This window comes from Homo sapiens, chromosome 13 (genome assembly GCF_000001405.40).
Source record: "Homo sapiens chromosome 13, GRCh38.p14 Primary Assembly".
Classification (NCBI taxonomy): Eukaryota; Metazoa; Chordata; class Mammalia; order Primates; family Hominidae; genus Homo; species Homo sapiens.
Genome location: NC_000013.11, coordinates 95584227 through 95608013, shown reverse-complemented (window position 1 = coordinate 95608013; position 23787 = coordinate 95584227). Strand labels below are relative to the sequence as shown.

At 39.4% G+C, this 23787-nt stretch overlaps 1 protein-coding gene across 28 annotated transcripts in view, besides 1 other annotated feature; it reads left to right on the top strand.

Moving 5' to 3' along the window:
- DZIP1 (DAZ interacting zinc finger protein 1) overlaps window positions 1-23787 on the top strand; it is a 66505-nt gene that overhangs the window by 36693 nt on the left and 6025 nt on the right. For 5 of the 28 annotated variants that reach the window (XM_006719920.1, XM_006719916.1, XM_047430169.1 and 2 more), the window contains 9 exons: window positions 1955-2011; window positions 8590-8649; window positions 13928-14070; window positions 17573-17735; window positions 18082-18211; window positions 18807-18860; window positions 20285-20475; window positions 21878-22008; window positions 23104-23436. In XM_006719920.1, coding sequence (XP_006719983.1) covers window positions 1955-2011; window positions 8590-8649; window positions 13928-14070; window positions 17573-17735; window positions 18082-18211; window positions 18807-18860; window positions 20285-20475; window positions 21878-22008; window positions 23104-23415 — 1241 coding nt within the window. In that variant the 3' untranslated portion in view covers window positions 23416-23436. Of the gene's footprint in view, window positions 1-1954; window positions 2012-5325; window positions 5592-8589; window positions 8650-13927; window positions 14071-17572; window positions 17736-18081; window positions 18212-18806; window positions 18861-20284; window positions 20476-21877; window positions 22009-23103; window positions 23437-23787 lie in introns of those variants that run through there. The other 23 variants (NM_014934.5, NM_198968.4, XM_006719917.3 and 20 more) reach the window with 10 other exon arrangements.
- Window positions 3545-3839: an enhancer, noted in NCBI's record as "tiled region #2339; HepG2 Activating DNase matched - State 5:Enh". NCBI's record gives its function as "activates a minimal TATA promoter and a strong SV40 promoter by Sharpr-MPRA in HepG2 cells {active_cell/tissue: HepG2}" and the evidence as "EXISTENCE:reporter gene assay evidence [ECO:0000049][PMID:27701403]".

Here is a 23787-nt window from a genome sequence, read left to right as displayed (position 1 = left end):
TAAAGTTTAAGATCAGAAAGTAAATCACAAGGTGAAAGTCAGCTTAGGAGATATGCAATAAATAAATCAGACCTATAGCCAGTAAAATGAAGATTTGTAATGTCTAATATAAAGCAGATATGGTCAAACCTGTTGATTCCACCTGTCTATACCCTTGGTGATTTAGACACTAGTCAGTCATTTACTGATTTACTACCCTTTCATAATAAGGGAATGAATTCTGTAGTTTAGAGAAAAGACCAAATTGTGATCAATTTTAATAGCATCAGATCTTTTGATTCTGTAAGCTGGAAAAATATCTAGATCAGGAATAGTTAGTATTCTGTATTTTTTTTTTTCTTGTAAAAAGTCAGACAGTGATTTACATTAGGCTTCACAGGCTAGATGATCTATTTTGCAACTACTCACCTCTGCCATTGTAGTGCAAAATCAGCCATAGACAACACGTAAGTGAAGGAGCTTGGCTGTATTCCAATAAAAACAGGCAGTGGACTGGGTATGTCTCATGGGCTATAGTTTGCCAAAACTTGATCTAGATTATACAAGTTGCAAATGGGTACAAAGGCAGTATTTCCAGAGTTTGTTAGCAATTTACAAATAGGAATTGAACACTTTCACTAGAAGCCATTGTGAAGATAAAAAATGCATACCTATAGAAGTAGCTGATGGCCGGGTATGGTGGCTCATGCCTGTAATCCTAGCACTTTGGGAGACCAAGGCAGGTGGATCACTTGAGGTCACCAGTTTGAGACCAGCCTAGCCAACATGGTGAAACCCTGTCTCTACTAAAAATACAAAAATTAGCTGAGCATGGTGCCGCATGCCTGTAGTCCCAGTTACTCAGGAGGCTGAGGCAGGAGAGTTGCTTGAGCCCAGGAGGCAAAGGTTGTAGTGAGCTGAGATCATGCCACTGCACTCCACCCTGGGCGACGGGAGTAAAACTGTGTTTTTTAAAAAAAAATAAAATAAAAAAGTAGCTGAGGTTTGTGGCCAGTATTTTTTAGGGTAAGATTAGAATTAAAAGTCTGTCTTGATAAAAGAAAGAAGCGGTAAACTAATAGACCATACTGTTTAGTGAAAACAAACTGGATAAATAAATAGTCCAGAGAGGACTTTCAGATAAGAATTGTCAAATATTGGAAGAAGGCCGTGGAATCTAATTTTCTGTAGAAATTTAAATTAGAGAGGATTGAGTCTTACTTAAGTTAGGTAAACCTCTTTCCACAGGCTGTGCCTAAATTAATACCTTCACATAATGTCTTCCAGCCCAGTGATTAGAGTACTTTTTAAAACTGGTTTATTTTGCATGAATGTTCATTGCAGCATTATTCATAACAGCTAAACAGTGGAAACAACTTATATGTCCATCACCTAATGAAAAGGTAAATAAAATGTGGTCAGTTTATAACACAGAATGTTATTTGCCCATAAAAATACATACTGATATTTATATACATGCTACAGCATGGATGAACCTTGATAACACTGTGCTAAGTGAGCAAAACCAGACGCAAGGGACCACATACTGTATGATTGCATTTACTATATGAAATGTCAAGAATAGGCAAATTCATAGAGATGGATAGTAGATTAATTGTTGTCTGGGGATAGGGAAGGGGCAGAAATGAGGTGTGATGGGTATGGGGCATGGGTATTTTGAGGGAGGTGATGAAGCAAATGTTCGAGAATTAGACAGTGGTTGTGTTTGCACAGCCCTGTGAATATGCTAAAAACCCACTGAATTGTATATTTTTAAAAGGGGAACATATCTCCATAAAGCTGTTATGAATATAAGTTTATGTTAGTTGTGTAATATCTTTGTCACTTGAAATATTTGTTCCTTATGGTCTGTATGTATCTTGACTAGTTTGCGGCATATTTGGCTACCATCATGTTCGGATGCTTATGCTTTAATTATGGAACCTCTGAGTTTTTCCTTTTTATGCTGTTTCAGTGAATGCCCCAGCCCTGCACACTTTGGAAACTAAATCAAGTCTGCCAATGGTGCATGGTAAGTTTCAGTAATAGTCTCAGCGTTTTATGTGCAGTTGCCACCCTGAGTTGGATAACTTATTAACCAAAAGTGATTATGTGGAGGTAATTAATAATAAAACAGGAAACATTTTAGTGATTGCAAAACAGTTATTAAAACTGCAGTCTTCATGTGTAATATTGTTGTAAACTGGACATACCTCCCAAAGTCTTAAAGTATAAAAGGTGTATATAGGTATAAAAGGTTGCCAGACTCACAAGTAGAGATTTTAACTTTGGGTAGTGTCTTGATTATTTATGATTTTTGTGGAAAGTAGTAGGTGTTGGGTAAGAATGAGGGTGACCTGCTACCAGACCAGCCAACCAGCACATGCCACAGGGCGTATGTGGTTGTTTTTATAACTTTCAATGTGGCAGCAAGTCACCTTTTCTAAACAAACAGTTTGAATGACTGGTTGGGAAAATCTAGAAAAGACATGTGATGGAAACTAAAGGAAATAGGTAGGAACCACTGGGTGAAATCATTACCAGGGTTCAGTTCTTGGACCAGATCAAAAGGGTGATAATTGTTATTAACATGATCCAATAGATGGGCTGAATATTTGTAGCCGTATTTCACTTTTTATACAGTTAAAGTGCTTACAGTTTTTATAGTATGTTCTTTAATGTGATGTTTTCCTGTGCTCTGTTGGATATTACAAATGAATTAAGACGGGAGAAGGGCCATCTTTTTCCAGTCTCACATACAGTTGCTCTGGAATCCAAGGATTATTTCACTCTTTCATTTTTGGTCTTTTAAAAAGATTACACTTAAATCCATGATCTAACTGGTCAGTATGGTGGCACTTTTTGTCTTCATAGATATTGTGATCTGTATACCATGAACTTTAGTAATAATCCTTTTTACTCATCACTGACTCTTGAAGTGTTTATTGCACCTTATTTTTTTCCCGAAGATCATTTCAGGTGGGTCAGTTGTCTTGAGTATGTGATCACAATACGTAATGTGTAAATTCTCCACATATTGATCTTCTTATTTACAAGTGTTCAGAGCATGCAGTTTTTTCCTTTAGACCAGTAACAGATAAAAGCACACTGGACATAAATAAATTTGCTTTAATATTGAATATATAAGAAAAGTATCTAGCAATCATTCTGTATTCATATTATTTTATGTCAGGTCTAAAATCTCTCTGTTGCGTCCCTTTGTAAAGCATTGCTGGCCATTTCTCTTTTGTACTTCAACAGTGTATTTTAGTTTCTTTTACTTCCCCACCCCTCCACTTTGTTATTGTTAGCTTTCTGTATGACATCACACAAGGTTCCTAGTTTCTTTGTCATATATTTTTGTTGCTAACTAAAGGACACCCTGGTAGGTACATTAAAGCTGTCTGGGGTTGATTCAAGGGTCCGGACAAATCGATCATTTCTAAAGCATGTGTTCATGGGGACCCTACCCTCACTAGCCCAGAGCTGCATGAATCAGTCATGCCCCCTTCCTGGCATCTGCTGGGATTGAAATGCTAGTTTTAAATGCCAGCCAGACCTGGCACAGGGCCTACAGCCCTTGGATGGGGATCAAAGCTTATTTGTGAGCATCTCAGTGGGCAGGAGCTAGGAAGAGACTTGGCCAGGGCCCGCCAACGTCCCCCACCCCGTCAGGCCAGCTTCCCCAGGGCGGCAGGGGCAGGGCAGGTTAGTCATGGATTGCGTAATGTTTATTCGCCTGTTCACTCTCTGTCCTTTGTTCCATCTCGAAGCTTGATGAGGTTCTTTACCATGAAAAATCTCACAATTTCTTACCATTGTAGGTCGGGTCCCCTGGGAAACAGACTGATGCGGAAGTTTACAGGTGGGAGGTGGGGGTGCCCTTGGACAGCACCTGTGAGAGAAGCAGGGTTGGGCGAAGGGAACGTTGAACCTAGACGCAGCCACAGTGGAGGCCTCAGCCAGCCCTGCTTCAGAGCTGCAGAGCTGGGATGAGTGCTCTGGCTTGTCCTCCACTGAGGCAGGGGTGGGCCATTGCCCCTTGCACTGATTTGTCATCTGATGGGGGCTGCCCCAAAGAGAGGGTGAGCTAAAGCAGCCTGGAAGGGACTCCACTGTGAGCTGCTAGGAGCCAACATTGCCAGCACGTTTGTCCTGGGAGGATCTAGGTAAAATGGGAACCCTGATGGCTCCCTGCTTTCAACTCTGCTACACAAGCTAAACGGTACAGGCAGTAGGTTCTGATCCTAAGGCAGTTGATAGGATGAAACACGGGTTCTGGAGAAGATAAACAATCATGCTTGATTCCCATCCCCAGTATGCATTTTTTTTCTGGACAAACCTCAAATAAATTTTTGTAGTATTTTCACCACTGGAGACCACTTTGCTCTTTGCTCATGGAGTAGTGACTAAATGGTGGTATTAGGATGCCCAGAAAATAAAGTATACTTTGTTGCTGTTAAACTGACCCATACACCAATTGCTTAGGTTGCCTGGGCTGATAATGTGGCCCACTTTTAGAGCGACGAGTGCAGTGAGGATGCAAAATAACCGCTTTTCCCAAAGTCTGTGGGCACCTGCTAGGTTCTATCTACATGTAAAGCCCTCCTTTAATTTGGTCTATAAATTGTGAGGGGCTTATGTATGCATGACTTTAATTGTATATAGCTACAGTGAGGACCACAAAAACTGGAAACTCTTTTTTTTTTTTTTTTTTTTTTTTTTTTTGAGACTGGGCATTTCTCTGTCGCCCAGGCTGGAATGTGGTGATATGATCATAGCTCACTGCAGCCTCAACTTTCTGGGCTCAAGTGATCCTCCCACGTAGTTGAGACTGCAGGGGTGCACCACCATACCTGACTAATTTTTTGATTTATTATATAGACGGCATTTCATTATGTTGCCCAGGCTGGTTTCAAACACCTGGACTCAAATGATCCTCCCACCTCAGCCTTCCAAAGTGCTAGGACCACAGGTGTGAGCCCACCGCTCCCACTTAGAAACATTTTTATTAGACTTTACAATTATTATTATGTTTTGTTCTCAAAGCAAGTATTCTACATCTTGAAATACTGAAAATTAACACAAGCAATAGTTTATTGTCCAATACATGACAGGTGGTATGCTCTAGACTTCTGGTGTATTGTGTCTCTTGATGGAAAGAAAGATGGCTTCCCCCTCTGGACACCACTGGCCCAAATAGTGTTGCAGAAGTGGGATGGGGACTGTTGAAAGGAAGTCTCAGTTCAGTGGGATTCCACCCTCTAAAGGAGAGTGGGCCTGATCCCTGTCAGGTGACCATGCTTATGTGCAGTCACAAGGGGAAATGTTTGGATGTGCCAACAGGATCTCCTGGACATACATCCTGGAAAAGCTCAGGAGAGTCTTCAGTGAACATGTCTTTGACAGGAGTTAACATGCCACATGTAGTTATCTGTTTCTCCAGCGGTGTTCCGCCACTCTTGCCTTCCTTCCTTCACTGACCACTGGGTAATGACAACTGTGGACCACTCCTGCATGACAGAGATATAGAAATGAATCAGAAACGAAGCCTGTCCCCACGGAACTTACAGCTTATAAAGGAGACCACATGCTTATAATTATGGTGCAAGGTGAGAGCCACTGAGAAATGAAATGGGTATCCAGGCAGGGGAGAGATTTCCTCCATTTGGGAGACTCTGGGAAGACTTCCTGGCGTAGCTGACATTTGGCCATTTGAGCCGAGTAGGAGGTGAATATGTCGGGATGGCATCCTAGGCAAAGCAAACAGTAAGAAGGAAAAGGTGGCAGGAAAGCACTAGATGTGAATTAGCAGTTTAGAGTAATTACTTGGCCATGCATAGAGAAGAGGAGATGTGAGGGAAGTGAGGTTGGTTGAGGGCGTTCATGGCAGCTGTTGAGTGCCAGGCTGCAGCTGTCCAGGGTCGTTCTTGGGGCAGTTTGTAGCCGCTGAGTGTTCCTGAGGCTGGGTGTGCAGAATTGGAGAGCTGGGCTATGGGAGGCTTGGCCTGACCAGAGCGTCTCCAAAGCTCCCCATCTGAGATGGGGAGACCAGTTGTGGGTGTGGGTGATCCTACACTTGAGATTCCTCCCCGGGAGTCTGCTTTGTGGTGATGAGACTGGAGAAAGAGTGGACAGACCAGCGGTTTGGTGGAGTTGGCAGAAAGGCTGAGCAGGTGACTGGGGACCAGGGCCAGGACCAAGGAAAGTCAGAGCACAGTGAACTCTGATAATGGGTGGACAGCGGTGGCATTTGGAGAAGTCAGAAAGACAAGCCCAGTGAGTGCCAGTAGGCAGGCATCATCACTTTGTGGACAAGTCCCCAGACTTTGGAAGCAGGCAGTCCGGATTCACAGCCCACCCCTAAGCTGTGGGCTTAGGGGCTTTGCCTGCCAAGTGCAGAGAACAGCTGTGGCTACTGCAGTGGCCTTTGTGATGGTCCAGAAAGGTACAAGCCACTGAGTAAGCTCTGGCCAGTGTTGGCTTCTAAGGTAGGCACGATGAAGTCCAGCCAAAGTCAGCTAGGGGCAAAAGGGCAGGGCTAGTTAGAGGACCAAGATCCTTTCTTCTGGAGACAATGGCAGGAAACTGACAAGGATTTTTTTGAAAGCCTCCCACAAGTTCATGGGAGACTCAGACCTCTGAGTGTTTTGACTGTCACCCTGCATCTCAGCTCAGGACAGGATCTGGGACGTTTGAAGTCTAGACTGGTGGCTTACAAAGCACAAGCAGGGCAGGTCCTTCCCTCCTGATGTGGGACATCAGCCTGCTTGTTTTGGGAGCTGGGGTTTGGCCAGCCTCACTTCCCCAGCCCTTGTTATGGGAGCCACGTTCAGGAGTCTCCCCTTCTACCAGAACTCTTCCTCTGTACACAGAGGGAAACACATCAGAACCTGGCAGTTTATCCTGACTCTAGAGAAATAAGTCATAGGAGTATCCCTGTTATAAAATAATAAATATGTGTGAGATTATTTCATGAAAGTTTTATTAAAAGTTTCCTTGTGACCTTATTTTGATCACAAGTAAATAAAATACAGTGTGACTTTTTAAAATCTGAAATTAGTTATCCTCCTTAAATCTGTTTTCAGCAGTTCAAACTAGTAATATAGCCTATTTGTATAATTTTTAAAAATCTTGATGCTCTATAACAAATTTGAAAAGCATATTTTTGGTGGTCAGCAGTTGTGGTACCTGCTGGACTTAAATGCTTCTTCATGGCTATGTCCACACTTCAGCAGTTAGGTGATTTTACTCAGTCATAGGCTGTATTCCAGAAGTTAACTTGAAAGTAGTTTAAGATGCGTTTCTCCCATACAGCCAATGTTACATACATTGACTAGGTTGCTGGCTAAGCTGTAAGAACCTATTTATATATACCTAAGCCTGTCTGTCTGTCTGTCTGTCTATCTATCTATCTATCTATCTATCTATCTATCTATCTATCATCTATCTATCTATCTCTATCATCTCTCTCTCTCTCTATCATTTGTCTATCTGAAATAGAGTACTAGAAATACTTTAATGAATAAAAAACCAGACCCTTTAAAGTAAGAAGCATTAAATCTGAGATACCACACATGTGGATCCCTGCCCAGCCTCCTGGTGAGCACTCGGTAACTGTTGGCCATTTTTACCCTGGCTCATCACCCACTCCCAGGTCTGGTGGTAGAATGAAATGACCTCCCCCTTGGAGGTAAAAGTGGAGAGCTGGTGGGGGGAAGTGCACTGTATCAGTCTCCAAGATGAAGGTGAGTGAACCATGCACCAACTTTGCTGGTTGCATTTCATCCCATATCTAATGCCTGACCACCATCATTAAACCTTCACCTAAAACCTGACCTTCACCATGAAGGAAATTTCCTTCAGTTGGTAGGATAGGGCTTGGTTTTATACCTGCTGCTGGCAGGCTTCCTTGTGTATGCATATAACATTTCTCTGGGAATAGTCACCCAAAGACCTCATCTCCCCTGAGTGCGGTTGCCATTCTGGGGTGAGATTGGGAAGAGTCCTTCCTCATCTGCCCAGCTGTGGGGCTAGGGCATTCTCCAGCCCCAGAACTAGGTCGTGAAATGCATCCATGCAGGTGTCGAAGAATGGCTCTCATTCTTGCTGCTGACCTCTCGCCTGTCGTTCCCCTTTTATATTCTGGGTCTTACCACTTGAAAACCGTGGGGTTAGCACCCAGAACAAGTGGGAATCCCAGGACCTTGGGAATTTTTAATGTTTTTGTAGTTGAAATATTTTCATTAATTTTCTGTTTAGCCACTTGATTGAAATACTTTATAAGTAATGAAGATCTTTTGCAGTTGTGCCCTTGTGTCTTAAAAGGCTACCGTGTACTAGGTTGATGAATGAGAAACTTTAACTTAATTATTTAAAACTATAATTTCTGTAGAGTGTAGTTAATGGAAAGTACATAGAAATCGAAGATATGATGAAAAGGTGACCATCTATGACTGATTGCCTCAACGTTTTTTCCTCAGTAAATTCTTGCTATTCAGGCATGACTAAAATACCATGGAATGATATCTTTCAAAATCATTTGAAAGGAAACTAATGTAACTTTGCTGTTGTCCTGTTTGTACTGTTCTTATTTTTCCTTGTTAATAGAACAGGCATTCTCGTCGCACATACTGGAACCAATAGAAGAACTTTCAGAGGAAGAAAAAGGTAACAAAGGGCTTGATCAGGTTTACCTGCACAGATTATATTTATATGCCAAAATCTAGGCCTGGAAAATATGAGCCAGTGGTTTTTATTCCACTACATCAAAATTAGGAAAGACATTTAGATTTGGATTTTACTTTCAACCCACATAGAGTATCCTGTTATCCTATTCCCCTAATATTCTGTTCTGTTTTCCCCTGCTTTGTGGTATTCTTATGCAAGCAGATAAAATAAGAAATTTTTTGTGTCAGAGAACTTGAAAAAAAATTTGTCTTTATTTTAATGCAGATTTTTCTGATGAGATGATATATAGACACACACGTGTTGTGTACCAGAAGATCTGAAAATATTTGTATCATAGTGGTGATTTATCATACCCTTAATCTGAAATGAATTGGTGAAGTGCTTATTTCCAAATTATTTTTAATAGCAAGAAAAGCATCATGTCTAAGTTCTGGATGTGGAATATTTATGTGCAAAACAGTATTTTTATGGTGGAATTTGGGAGCTGTTACAGGTGTTGGGAGATAATTATTACTGCTTACTCATTTCATTTGATAGTCCTAAAAATTATTTTCTGTCAATTAGTTTTTAAAGTCTATGAAGAAAGGTTTAATTATGAGGAACATTTTCTAATGCTAGATTTGTAGATTTTGAAAACAATTATATTTGAATCAATCTATCATAATTTTTTCCTATTAATAATAATAATAATTCACCATATATCACTTCTTTAGGAGAAAGCAAATTGTCAATACTTATATGGGTTCTGGTTTTGTCATTTTTGTCAGGAAAAGAAGTCAAATGATATATATCCTAATATATAAATTCAGTATTTATTATAACTCTTCCCTTGTTCTCTAGACATTTACCATTTTATTTTTATTTTTATAAGGCTACAAATTGAGAATTGACTACATCAGGCATATTCATAATACCTATATGATATACACTTTCAAGTCTTATTTTGCTATGCTAATGATCAGTAACTTTTTGATATTTTTATAGGGTTTGTTTATTTTGCTTCCATGTATCTTTGTAATTTGTCTTGATGTTGTATATTTTAGACAGACCATTTAGTTTAGGATTGCATATCTTCCTGTCCCAATAGTTGTTCATGTTTGGCACTGATTTTGAAGAGTTTGGTTTTAGTTGCTTCATTTCCTCCTTATTTCTTTGTAATTGCTGTTCCAATGTTTAGAAACCTGCTTCTTTCAGAAACAAGAGTGACTATAGGTACATTAAATTACATAAAGCCATAAAAACTTGTTGAGGGAAATTTTGGGGTACTCTGATGAGCATAACTTTAAAAGATATTGTTACCTTCTTATGGGGTCCTCAGCCTTGTTCCATTGCTAAACAAATAAATTGCTGGAGGGGTCATTCCCAGACACTTCCAGCACCTTAAAGACCACCACAGCCCAGGCATCAAACGAGATCCTGCAGGCTGAATCGATTCCACAGACGCTGACTTGTTCAAGCTGCACTATTAGCAACTATTGTACAGTAGGTTGCCAATATTTAATTGTAGTGCAATCTCTACACAATTTAATTATCTATCACTAGGTGATAAAGTCCCTTCCAACTCAGAAATTCTGGTTGTTGTTTTTTTAAAATTATTTGCTTTGTGCCACAATACAATACCCTGGAAACCCTGGGCGCATGGTCTACTTAGCAACATTTAGCAGGGCTGAGCCGCCATCACTGGCTATGGAAGCAACCTCCGGTTTGCCATAATCCCCCTCAACTCTTTTGCCCCACATTGCCTTCTTTGCTTTATGTAGGCGTTTAAGCTTCTGAGCCCTATAGGTTGAAGAGAAATAGTGCTTAAAAAATATTGTCTTTAAGTGATTTTCAACCATCCCTATTGGTTTTCCAGAAACGGAAGAACAAATCTTACCCTATTTGAGTTCTGAATAATGACACATCATTTTGCTTGCAAGTAACATGCTTCCGCTCTCCTACATACATATCATTTACTGATGTCCAAGATATAAAATCCCATATTCCTTGAAGAATCTGTGAGACATGTCAGGAGGTTCATAGAAAACGTCGCGTACTTTCAAAATAGAACTTCAGGTCATGTAGTTCACACTCATTTGAAAAACGACTCAGTGAGGGTTCCTATAGGAATCATGATTGTCCACCATCACCCAGAGTGGTCTTGTAACTTCCAGTTCCAGATTTCACTCACTGCATCCCTCTGCCTGTGCTTTTAGAGTTCTTCCAGTCAATGTAAGATGGTAGTTTGGAATCACTGACAGCAAACACCACCATTGGGTGCTGCCACATTTAGGGGGCTGGACTGGAAAAGAAAATAACTCTTGTCATGCTCCATGTGTTCAGCTCTGATGGTAGACAGGAGAGTGCTGAGGACCATAGAAAACACCCCAGGGTCCACGTGCACCACTGCAGAAACCAGTGACTGCCTCCTTCCAGCACCTCTGTGGAGTTAACATACTGGCAGCAGATTAATTGCCATCAATAAATTCCTCAGCTTGTGCTAACATTTTGCAGATAAGTGCCTGAGAAGCTCAATTTTGGCAGTGGTTTGCAAAAACACTGTGGCTTTTACTAAGAAGTAATTCATGCATATTTCTGTGTACCTGCTTTTTGAGCAAAGGCATAGTTGATCTTGCAGTTTTATAGATGCTAGAATGTGAGGGCCAGAAGGGATCTTAGAGGGCATTTTATTTTCCAGAAAGAAAACATAGGGGGATTAAGAGCCTGCTTCAGGTTGTTGAGTTTAATTAGTGACAACATCCAGGTTTTCTACTGTCCATAGTTTAGTGCAGAGAGCAAATGGAGAAAGGGAAGCTGATGTGGCCTCTACAGGACCATCTGGATGGCCTTTGGGGAAGTTACTGCTGTTTCTAGTATACTCATGTCAAAAATCTATCATTACTAGGTGGTAGATAAATTCCCTTCCAACTCAGAAATTCAAGGATTTTTAAAAATCATTTGCTTCCTGCTACAATTATTTGTTTACCATAAATGGGATGTTGTATGTCTGATAAAACTGATCCCATGTATGGACTGTTGTGCATTAGCCTGGGCGTCTGCTTGTTTGTGTTTGAAAATTTGTATTTGAAGGAAATGCTAGTCTTTAGAAAGTTTTGTCTTGGTCTTGGTGAGCAATATGTGCTTTAACTAAAATCCTCAGCTGTGATTGATTTTCAAGTGATTAATTCCACTTCTACATAAAAACTTTATTTTTCCCTGCTTACTCTACATTCTTTCTCTTGCTTCCATTGGCCAGCCCCACCCTTGTAAGAATCTTTACCAAGGGTGCTCTAATTATTCATAAATGGTTTCCCAAAGCAAGCACCAGTATATAAGGTGAATTTGAGGACAGGGGGAAATGCGTAATCTGCAGTAGTTTGGGGAACTCAGTCATCAAAATGAACCTGTCATCAGAGCTGAGGATGATCACAGACACATCAGCAAATGAATTCAACAACTAACGGCAAAGGCTTTACAGCTCTTCTAACTGCAACCAAGTCATTCCAGGCATCGCTTGCCCCTGTATGTGGCCCCAAGTCCCAGAGAAAACAGGGCCCAGAGCCTCTTTTTAGGCAACGCTTCTGTGTACGTCCTTCATTATCTGAGATATTGGCCAAAAGAGTCTTCACATAATTGGGGTAGGGGGTATGTCTATTTCAATGGTAGCACCAAGACTTCCAGGCTCTCTCGGTGCCTCTTTTTATTTTTGGCCCTAGACAGTTGCACACTTGATGGCCACCTAGAAGCCAAAGCCAGTGACATAGTGGCTGCAGCTATGATTTTGATGGATTGTTCATAGAAGTGCTTTTTTTGGTGGTTTCAGAATATTTGTAAACATTGGTGGTTAAACAGCAGCATGATTGCTGATAATATAAGATTTAAGATTAGTTCTGACTTTTAATATATAATTATATGCAGTTTTATCACTTCAGCTTAGCAAGCTGCAATAGCAAAACATAGAATAGTATTTTTGTGCAGGATTTTGTTCTTCTATTTAATGTACACAAAAGTAATTTGACTAATTTTGCTTTCAATAAAACCATCTATTTATTTAATAGAAATATTTTTTAATGTGGGAATTGAACTGGTGTTTAGAAAACATCTTAAACAAAAAGGCATTTTGTTCAAGATCTCCTGCAAATCCAAGTAGTATGGGTATTAAGAATCCTGTCTGCTGAGATGGGTGAGGCAGCAGCAGAAGGGAGAGTCTCTCGGGTGGCCTGGAGCCCTACACCTAGGAAATGGCATTTGATGCCACCCTTTGGTGGGCAAAATGCCCCTGTTAGGAGATTAGACTCCAAAATGGTAGTATAGTTGTCACATTTCTCCCAGATCAGGCTTTTGACAGTCAGTAAGGGTCTGAACTGCCAAACGTCGCATCTCTTTAATGAAGTCTTCTGTTCCTTTGTACATAAGGACTCAGATTTTTAAAGGTTATGCCATCATTCTTCTCCAAACTGTCTTGAACTTGACTTTTTTTTTTTAAGTGGGGAATAAAAAAGGGATAGGGATGGAAGTGAGGAGAATATGTCCTATTGTTTTTGGTTTCTTTGTTTTTAATTATAGGTTGTTTTAAACAAAATACACTTTTGCTAAGACTTTTGTTATCCTTTTTCATTTTGGTAAATATTTTGAAGGGGATAATGATTTTCACATCTTGAAATTTTATATGTACTTAGCTTCTAGTAACTAAAAAACTTTGAAAAAAAATTTTTATATTTAAAATAAATTGAAATGGGATCTCGCTATGTTGTTCAGGCTAATCTCAAACTCCTGGGTCCAAGTGATCCACTCACCTTAACCTCCGAAAGTGCTGGGATTACAGGTGTGAGCCACTGAGCCTGGCCAAAAAGTTTTAATTATTTAAAGTAAATTGGGCTTTTTCTTCATAAGATGATACATAAATTCTAACTGAGTGAGCTTGGAGATGAATTTTTCAGGAAATAGTGATATAATTCTAGTGATAAAACATTAAACTCCTAAATAAATTTTTTTTCCATCATGCTTCTATAGATACATATATATCTATAGTTGTCATCTGATTAAGTGATCCAGTCTTTGAAAATACTGAAGTTTTGAAGCCGACATAAAATAGTTTTAAAAGCTGCATAACTTAAGCATTCTGTATTGTGCTGAGTGACTAAAATATCCAAAAACTTTAAAACATCACAAATACTTACTTGCTGCTTAAAAGCTGTGGTTTGCCATTTTCTGCTTAGAGATTTTTGATGTATTTGCTTAATTCTTTTTTTAACACATTTTTAAAACCTTATTTCAGGAAGGGAAAATGAACAGAAATTAAATAACAACAAAATGCATTTAAGGAAAGCTTTGAAGAGTAACTCCTCCCTCACTAAGGGACTAAGAACAATGGTGGAGCAGAACTTGATGGAGAAACTGGAAACCTTGGGGATTAATGCAGTATGTTCATTCATTTTTGGAATATTTGTTAGTTTTGCTGTGTTTTGTTTTCTAAATTAGAAATGATCATGGAAGAGAAGAAAGCACATCAATTCTGTCCATGTTTGGAGAACAGAGGCTAATGTGACCTACTTTATTTATCAAACACTTGAATAGCATTCACTGTGTGCCTGGCACATTTCTACGACCTTAACAAATATTAACTCATTTAAACATAGAAACAAATCTCTGAAATAAATGACATTAGTATCTTGACAGTTTACAGAAAAGGTAAGTAACTTGATTAATGTCTCACAGCTAGTAATGAAGGAGCCAGGGTTTGTATCTAGGCAGTCACAGTGCTGCTTACATTCTGATATTAACCTCAAATCATTGCCTATTACAAAACCAGCACTTCATTAATACATGTTGAATGAATGGATGAATGGATTGGATTTCATATTGTTGCCAGATTGAATAATTTTGGTATATCATATATAGATTCTTTTTGCTTTTTATAGTTTTATTGACATACATAAAAGACACAAATCTTAATTGAACTTCATTAGTTTATATGTTTATAAAAAAGTGCATCTACATATGCATATATACACATATATGCAAAGCTTGTGAGCACATATGCATGCATGGGCACACACGTGGATGTGTATAGTGTGTATGTGTGCATGTAGCTATGTATATATACATGTATGTATCCATGTGTGTATGCAGATATCTGTGTATGTGTATACACATTTGTGTATATGATATGTGTATACACATTTATGTATATGTATGTATATAGATGATTGTGTATGTTTTCAGAAGTATGTGTGTATGTGGCTATATTTGTGGGTATACATGTTTGCATAATTTTATCTATATAGATGGATTTGTATGTACATGGATGTGTGTGTATGATCTATAACCAGCACCCAAATGATGAGATTGAACATTTCCAACACTCTGGAAGACTCTCTTTTACTTTCTGCTAGTCAGTATCACCCCCTACTTCCCAATCGGAGGGAAAGGGTATTCTGACTTAGTTTTGCTTGTTCTTGAACCTCATAAAAGTGGAGTCATACACTGTGTAATATTTTATATCTTCTTTTGCTTAATGATTTTATCTATATGATTCATACCTGTTGTTTCATGTAGCAGTAGTTTGTTCTTATTTATTACCTTATAGCATTCTATTGTGTGAATATACTACAGTTTATCTCTTCCCTGCTGATGGACATTTGTGTGTCTATTTTGGGGCTCTTCTTGGCTATTAATTCTTGTACATGTCTTTTGGTGAACATGGGCATTTCTTTTTCTTGAATATATATCTAGGGATGAAATTGCTGAGTCAAAGGGTAGGCATATGTTTAGTACAGTAGCTGTTGCCAAATAGTTTTCCAAAGTCCTTGTACCAACTCACACTGTCCCTAACGGTGTTTGAGAGTTCAGTTGCTCCACATCTTTCATCAACTCAGTCAGTCTTTTTAAATTTCCACATAGACCCTTTTTAGGTGGGTTTTGACCACCCTTTGGGCAGTGGAAATCAAAGACATTCATGGAATGTGTGTGGTTCCTGTGCAGATTGTTTCTTAAAATTGTAGTTTTCCATATTGGTTGTTTGCAAGTGGTTTTTTGAGTTTTAATTTTAATTGGGACATTTTCATTTATCCTAAGATTATTAAAACATTCTTTTTTTTCTCTAATGCTTGGAGAGGTTTTCCTAGTTTTTTGTTTGTTGTTTTGCTTATTTTGTTTTTGTCTATCTGGGCTTTAAGAGTTAGGTTTTGAAACAGTGATTTGGAGAGCTAACTTAATTTCCAGTTGGATCAGGTGTCCCAATATCATTTGTTGAATAATCCATAGTTTCTCCATTTATTTAAAAGGACATTTTTGTCATATAAGAAATCCCTATATACATTTGGATTTGTTTTTGGACTTTCAACTGTTTTACCTTGTTTTTTTGTGTGTTCCTTTTCCCATACCATACTAATTTAATTGTAGTAGCTTTGTCCTGTGTTTTAATATCTTTTATAGGCCATGCCTTCTTCATTAGTCTTATTTCAAAAATTTATTGGTAATTCTTCCATGTTTTGTTTTCCAATGAACTTTAGGAATAACTTTTCAACTTCCAGAATAACCCTTGTTGGGATTCTGATTGAAATTGTTTTAAATTTTGTATATTAAGTAGGAAGGATTGACATTTGTACAGTATTAGGTCTTATCCTCCAGCTACATGGTATAGGAAGACAGGCATGAAACAAATGATTTCCCAGACAAATGGGAGCTCTCTAATTTAGATTATATGAGGTGAAATAAAGGAAAAGTAGAGGAGGGGGTTGATTGAATAACTGAGGTCAGAGAAAACTTCTTCTTGGAGGTGGTACTTAATTTGATGATGGAGATTTCTGTCCTGGGCAACTGGGTGGGTGGTATGGCCACTCCCTGGGACTGGGAAGGCTGAGGGAAGCAAGGGGGATGGGAACAAAGATGGGAGGTAGCTGTGTGTGTGAGACACTGTTATTCAACAAATATCCCTTTAACTAGTTTTCTTCTGTCTAGATTCTCATCAAATCTAGATGACTTTTCTCAAATTGTCTCTTTAATTATGCTATTTTCATAGTTAAATGTCACCTCTAGCTGGGCACGGTGGCTCATGCCTGTAATCCCAGCACTTTGGGAGGCCAAGGCAGGTGGATCACGAGGTCAGGAGTTCGAGACTAGCCTGGCCAACACGGTGAAACCCCATCTCTACTAAAAATACAAAAATTAGCTGGGCGTGGTGGCGGGTGCCTGTAATCCCAGCTACTCGGAAGGCTGAGGCAAGAGAATCATTTGAACCTGGGAGGTGGAGGTTGCAGTGAACTGAGATTGCGCCATTGCACTCCAGCCTGGGCAACAGGGCGAGACTCTGTCTCAGGAAAAAAAAAAAAAAAAAAAAAGAAGTCACCTCTGATGCTCTGATGACCTATTGTTCCTTGTAGAATAACCTTTCAGCCTTTTGGGTTGGCATTTAGTCTCTTCTGCTGGTTTCATCACCCAGGTCTTTTTAAGCATTAGCCTGTGGGACGTGCCTTACCTGTTTCTGCCTCGACAGCTTCCTTTCTCACAGGTGTCCCTATCTCATGCCTACCCATCTGGAAATTTCTCCTTGTTTTTACTTGTTTGACTCCACCTGTCCTTCAGGCCACAGCTCAGCCTCCCCTTTCAGCCTTCTCTGGCCACTGGGGCCTTCGATGGCCTCCCTCCCTGGAATTCTTCTAGCCTTTGTAGACTCATTGGGTCCTTATGACACACAGCCTCGTCGGTCAGCCAGTCATAAACATATGCATGCCTTATGTGCCCAACTGAACACATGGCCCCTTTGGGGACAGTGTGTTACTTGTTGGGGCACCCTTACCCTCTACACACAACTGGAGCCCTGTAAGGATGGATTGAAATGTTGGCACAGTTAATGCTGATATATGCCCATGAAATGAAACCTCCCAGGATAACTGGCCAACTTAACATCTTATTCTTTCAGGATATACGTGGCATTTCAAGTGATCAGTTGCATAGAGTACTAAAAAGTGTGGAATCAGAAAGACATAAGCAAGAAAGAGAAATACCTAACTTTCATCAAATTCGAGAATTCCTTGAACATCAAGTCAGCTGTAAAATTGAGGAGAAAGCACTACTCTCTTCAGGTAAGCTTGTTACCCACTGCAAATGGGAGCTTAATTTAACAACTTTTTCTTTTTTTCTTCTTTTTTCACCACAAGATATCATTAAACAAATTATTATAATTTTAAATGGTTAACAAACTTCGCCACTTCACTGGCAACTCTTTTACTGTTTGTACTATTAAATGCTGGGTCTTGGATTTTGTTTTTACAGTAAAAACAAAACAACAACCCTAGAGTCTGGCTTTAAACCCTAGAGATGGGATTGTTCATTGCCACAGCAGCATAGGGGGTATTATACCGTTTACCTTTGCTTTTCACTTACTGATCATAAAGGTAATGGAGACTCATGAATGACACTATATTCCAGATCAGTGCAGTGTTTCTCAAATGGATACCCTTTCAACTGGAGAAGTACCCAAAATGATACAACTTCCTTCCAAAAACAGACAACTGATTAGACAAAAAGCTGTTTCTACTGATAGGACATCTGTTCCAAAGTGAGTATTTCAGCCCTCAGATTTATTTTATCAGTGTTTGTCTTAGCTCAGGCTGCTTTAACAAAATACCATAGACTGGGTGGCTTCACAGAAATTTATTTTCTCCCCATTTTGGAGGCTGAAAGTCCAAGATCAGGATGCCAGTATAGTCAGGTTCCGGTGAAGGCTGTCTGCCTTGCAGACGACTGCCTTCTTGCCATGCCTCCAGATGGTGGAGATACCTCTGAAGGAGATACATCGCTTCCTCTTCTTATAAGGCACCAATCCCATCATGGGGGCCCCCATCCACATGACCTCATCTAAACTTAATCACCTCCCAAAGGCCCCCCAGATGCCATCATACTGTGGGTCAGGTCTTTAGCATATGTATTTGGGGCAGAGGGGACACAGACATTGAGTCCATAACAGTGTTTGGTCCAACTGAGAATCACACTTGTAATTCCTACCAGTCTCTAACTGACGCTGGGTGACTTTTGTTGCTGCTCTTCCTCGTTAGTGTATGTCAAAAGCAAAAATCACCAGTTCCATAGAAATGTATGTGAAATTATATTATTAACTTATGCAATTTAAAAATATTTTTCTGTTGTTTTTTTAGAATTAAGAAAAATGTCATGGAAGATCCTTTTCCCAGAAAGTCTTCAACTATTACGTGAGTATTGACAGGGATGGGAGGGTCATTTAAAAAATTATTTTCACTGAACATTCCTTTCATTTTAAAGTAGCGTGCTCATTATGGTTGAATGAAGCCGTAATTATTTAATATCATAATTTGTCATTCCTTTGTGATATGTTATTTGTGACATGTCTTTGTTTCTTTATCAGTTATTACATAAGTCAATAGCCCTTAACCACATGTGGACTCCATTAAGAAGCAAGACACCTGAGTCATTCTTATGTCCATCCCCCTACAATGTTGAGTAATTTCTCAATAAGTACATTTAACTTAAATGGCTGATGTTGAGTTTTTATGGCTAGGCTCATGACAGTGTAAGTTTGTTTTAAATGTAATAATTTAGTGTTTCCAGTTTTTTGTGGAAGTTAATACTGACCCTAGTAGATATTCCTGTCTTAGGTTCTCTTAGGATACTAAAAACCCTAGCCCAGTTGTTCATCACCTGTGTGCTACTGATTTAGTTGATTACTGTTTTAAGCCTGTTTTCTTATCTGTAGTATGGGATGTTTTAAGTCTCAATTTCCTTATCTGTAATATGGAATAATGCTGCCTTTTTCACGAGATAGTTCTACAAATTAAATGGGAATGTATGAAGAGGGCTTGGCTCAGTGCTTGGCACTTGTGGGTACTCAATAAATTGTAGGTATATTGTTACTAATTATGAGTAAGACTAATTTTATCATGAATAATTTAATCATCATTGCCTTATTCTGGAGATATTGATGACATAAATATCTTTTCATTGAGGCACTGTGTATTAGAGACAATAAACAATGATTCACCCTTCAAAAGCACTTTTCTTATACGTAATCTCATAGGAAGAGCATTATTTCTTGGGATGTGGTGTGAATGAATCAACATGTACAAGACTGACACGTTGTCTGGAATTTAGGTGCCCAATAAATATTATTTAAATGAACGAACACTGCTTTGAACTTCTATTTCACCTTAAAATGGGGGTAATAATTCATGTGATAATACAAATGAGATTGTGTATGTAAAAGCTCTTTGCAAGAAGGTGCAGTATAAAGAAGCTGTAAGTAATGACACAATTTTAAAACATGGAGTGGTTTTACTGAGGAAATGTTTTTCTTAGGTGTGTGAAAACCAAAATTATTAAGAATATATACACATTTGGGTTTAGAGGAGACAGGCCCCGGCTTCAGCCCATTTTGATAAACATGCCCCGTGGCTGGCAGAGATCTGGGCGTGGGAGGATGCTACAGCCGTGGGTATAACCTCTGGCCTCGCCGCCATCTTGGCCATAGCCCCAAAGGCACTTGTGCCCACTGAGAATTACCTGAGAAAGGTGCCACCACTTTAAGAGGCACATCTCTTAATATTATAAATCCTAAAGCGTTACGAAAACAGCGCCCCTATCTCGGTGTTGATTTGTGTAGGACCCCTCCTTTTAGTTCAGAGGAGGAGCAGGAGGACGACGACCTCATCCGGGCATACGCATCCCCAGGCCCACTTCCTGTGCCGCCACCACAAAACAAGGGCAGCTTCGGGAAGAACACAGTGAAAAGTGACGCGGACGGGACCGAGGGAAGCGAAATCGAGGACACTGATGATTCTCCCAAGCCCGCAGGTGAGCTGTTACCTTGGAAAACTCTCTGGAAACTGTATTTAGGACAGTTGTCCTCACCCGTGTGTACCGAGCACTGGGAGTCTGAGCTGGGAGGGTGTGCAAGGAACAGATGCAGCGGATCCCAAAGGCACCCACGGAAAATGGGCAGGGTTTAGCACATTCCAGTTGAAGGAGAGGAAGGAGTTGGGAATGATACCTGGTGTATTAGTTTGCTAGGGCTGCTATAACAGTACCATAAACTGGGTGGCTTAAGGAACACAACCTTCTTGCCTCACAGTTCTGGAGGCTGGAAGTACAAGATCAAGGTGTTGGCGCTGTTGGTTCCTGTGAGGGCTGCCAGGGAGGGTCTGTTCCGCGCCTCTGTCCTTGACTTGTCTTCTTGTGCATCCTCACATCATCTTCCCTCTGTGTGCATCTCTGTCCAGATGTCTCGTTTGTATAAGGACATTGGATTAGGGCCCACCCTAATGACCTCACTTTACCTTGATTTCCTTTGCAAAGACTGTGCCTCCAAATAAGGTCACATTCTAAGCAATGGGGTTTAGAAATTCAACATGTGAATTTAGAGGGACACAAGTCAACCCAGGACACTGGGTGACTATGAGAATGGCTGTTCTAATACACTGTGCTGCCTCTTGGAGCTGGAGTAATACTAAAGGAAGACAAGATCTTAGCCTGTCACTGCAAATATTTGCTGACGAGAAGTAGAGCTGATGGGTCATTATTTTTTTAAAAAATTCAGCTTAATGCAATTTTAAAATTATATATTTTAAACATATCAGGTGTAATTTATTATATTTAATATATTGTGTGTAATTTATTATATTTAATATATTGTTGGATGTAATTTATATTGTATATAATGGGTATATACTATGTATTTATATAATTAGATAAAATATAATTCATTTAAAAATTCATATTGTTTTTGTAAATACCCATATGAATATTCCACTCATGCAGGTTATCTCACTGAAATTAATTTCTGACCACACACTTGAATGAGATCCTCTTTCTTTGATTTAAAATGTAAACTTTAGGCCAGGCACAGTCGCTCTCACCTGTAATCCCAGCACTTTGGGAGGATGAGGCAGGAGGATTGCTTGAGCCCGGGAGTTCAAGACCAGCCTAGGCAGCATAGCAAGACCTCGTCTCTATTTTTTTTAATTAACTAAATAAAATGAAAATGTTATATAGCTCATAGTCTGAAGGATTATGATTTTTTTAAGGATTGTGTGTTAAATTTTCTAACCCCAAAGTACATCAACTGATTTTATTTTAATAATACATAATTACTTCCAAAGCTTAGACTCTTTCAAAGTTTCCTGTAAGGTTATTTTGGAACTAAAGATAGATTAAATTTTTAAATACTTAACTTGCCTAATTTTTATTGATCTTATAGGAGTCGCCGTTAAAACACCTACTGAAAAAGTTGAAAAGATGTTTCCACATCGCAAAAATGTGAACAAACCAGTCGGTGGAACTAATGTCCCTGAGATGTTTATCAAAAAAGAAGAATTACAAGAACTAAAGGTGAAATCACTTTTACTTGCTAGATATACATAAATTTGTCTTTGGACAGCACCTTAATGGTCACACTTTTTGTAGTGAAATATAAAACAGATAGTTAGCTGGTAGAGTAGAGGTTGAGATTTTCACCTTTCTTGTTCTCAGTATTGCATTTCTTTCCATTCCATAGACAAAGATATTGGAGTGATAACTGTAACAATACATAATAAGCATGACACTTTACAGGTTTTCAAGATCCTGTCACATGTATTATCTGATACTTGCAGATATCAAATGGTTTGTACAAAGAAATTTGTGACTGGCCAGAATTGGGGCCCTTCAGATCTTCTTCACTACCCTGGCATGAGACCTTAGGTACTTTTGAGGGTTTAGCTCCACTTGGGAGCCGAAGTGAGGGTGGAGGCCAAGCTCCTCTGTCTGCATTAGAGAAGAAGCCCAAACATTTTCCCAGTGGTTCTAACAGCCAGGACGCCAGAGGTGTTTCTGTGGATGGAGCTCTATCATTGTATTTCTGGGCACAGCTCATCTGTGTTGACTGGTCCTCCAGTCCAGGGCATTTTGTCAAATTACTTTTATTAGTTAATACTATTTGTGTTACACAAGCCAAAAATGACAGAAAGTCCTATGACATTCAAGAGAGAGCAAAAGCATCTTTCTTTAGGAAGGGCATGGTAGAACTGTGTGCACCTTTCAGTTGGGGGCTATTCGGTTGGTCTGATGTACCCACAGTTAGATGTCATTATTATCACAGAGGTAAGAAGCAAGAGCAAGCCTCACTCCTACTCTGGAGCACCCTGACTTTTAGAGTTTCATACCGCTACAGTGTAGTATTTCTGGAATTTTCTACATTCATGATTGGTAGAGTAGGAAACATATATTTCCATGGCAGAAACGAAAAAGAGATGATTCAGATTTCAAAATACCAACTTCCAAATCTATTTCATTGCCCTGCAGAAATGACTAGATTTGGAAGTATTAATAGTTCCCCACTTCTTTCCTTATGGTTCAGTGTTAGATGCTCAGTCTAACCAATAAAATGATTGAGGGACACCATTTTTTTCTAAGCAACATTAATTATTCTCCATGCCTTTCTTTTAGTGTGCGGATGTGGAGGATGAAGACTGGGACATATCATCCCTAGAGGAAGAGATATCTTTGGGAAAAAAATCTGGGAAAGAACAGAAGGAACCTCCACCTGCGAAAAATGAACCACATTTTGCTCATGTGCTAAATGCCTGGGGCGCATTTAATCCTAAGGGGCCAAAGGGAGAAGGTTTGCTGCTTTCCCCTCTAATACAAGCTCGATCCATTTTCTTATTAGTTGTGTTTCATCTTTATAAATATCTAATTAACTTATGCTGGTATATCATCAGACAAAAAAGCTGTCAGTGCTTTCTTTATGTTATTTAAATAAGGATTGGATATGCATAACTCACTGATTCATATATATTTACTTGTTATTTTTATTTAATTATAGGACTAATCTTTAGTCTTTAAATTTTTAATTTATTTTTATTTTTATTTTTTGTTTTTGAAACGGTGTTATTGTCACCCAGGCCATCATGGCTCACTGCAACCTTAACCTTCTAGGCTCAAACAGCCCTCCCACCTCAGCCTCCCCAGTAACTGAGGCAGTCCTCCCACTTCGGCCTCCCAGAGTGCTGGGATTACAGGCATGGGCCACCGCTCGTGGCCCCCAAATTGTTTGTATTCTTTTATTTTTTTTTTTTTTTTGGCCAGGCGCAGTGGCTCACGCCTGTAATCCCAGCACTTTGGGAGGCC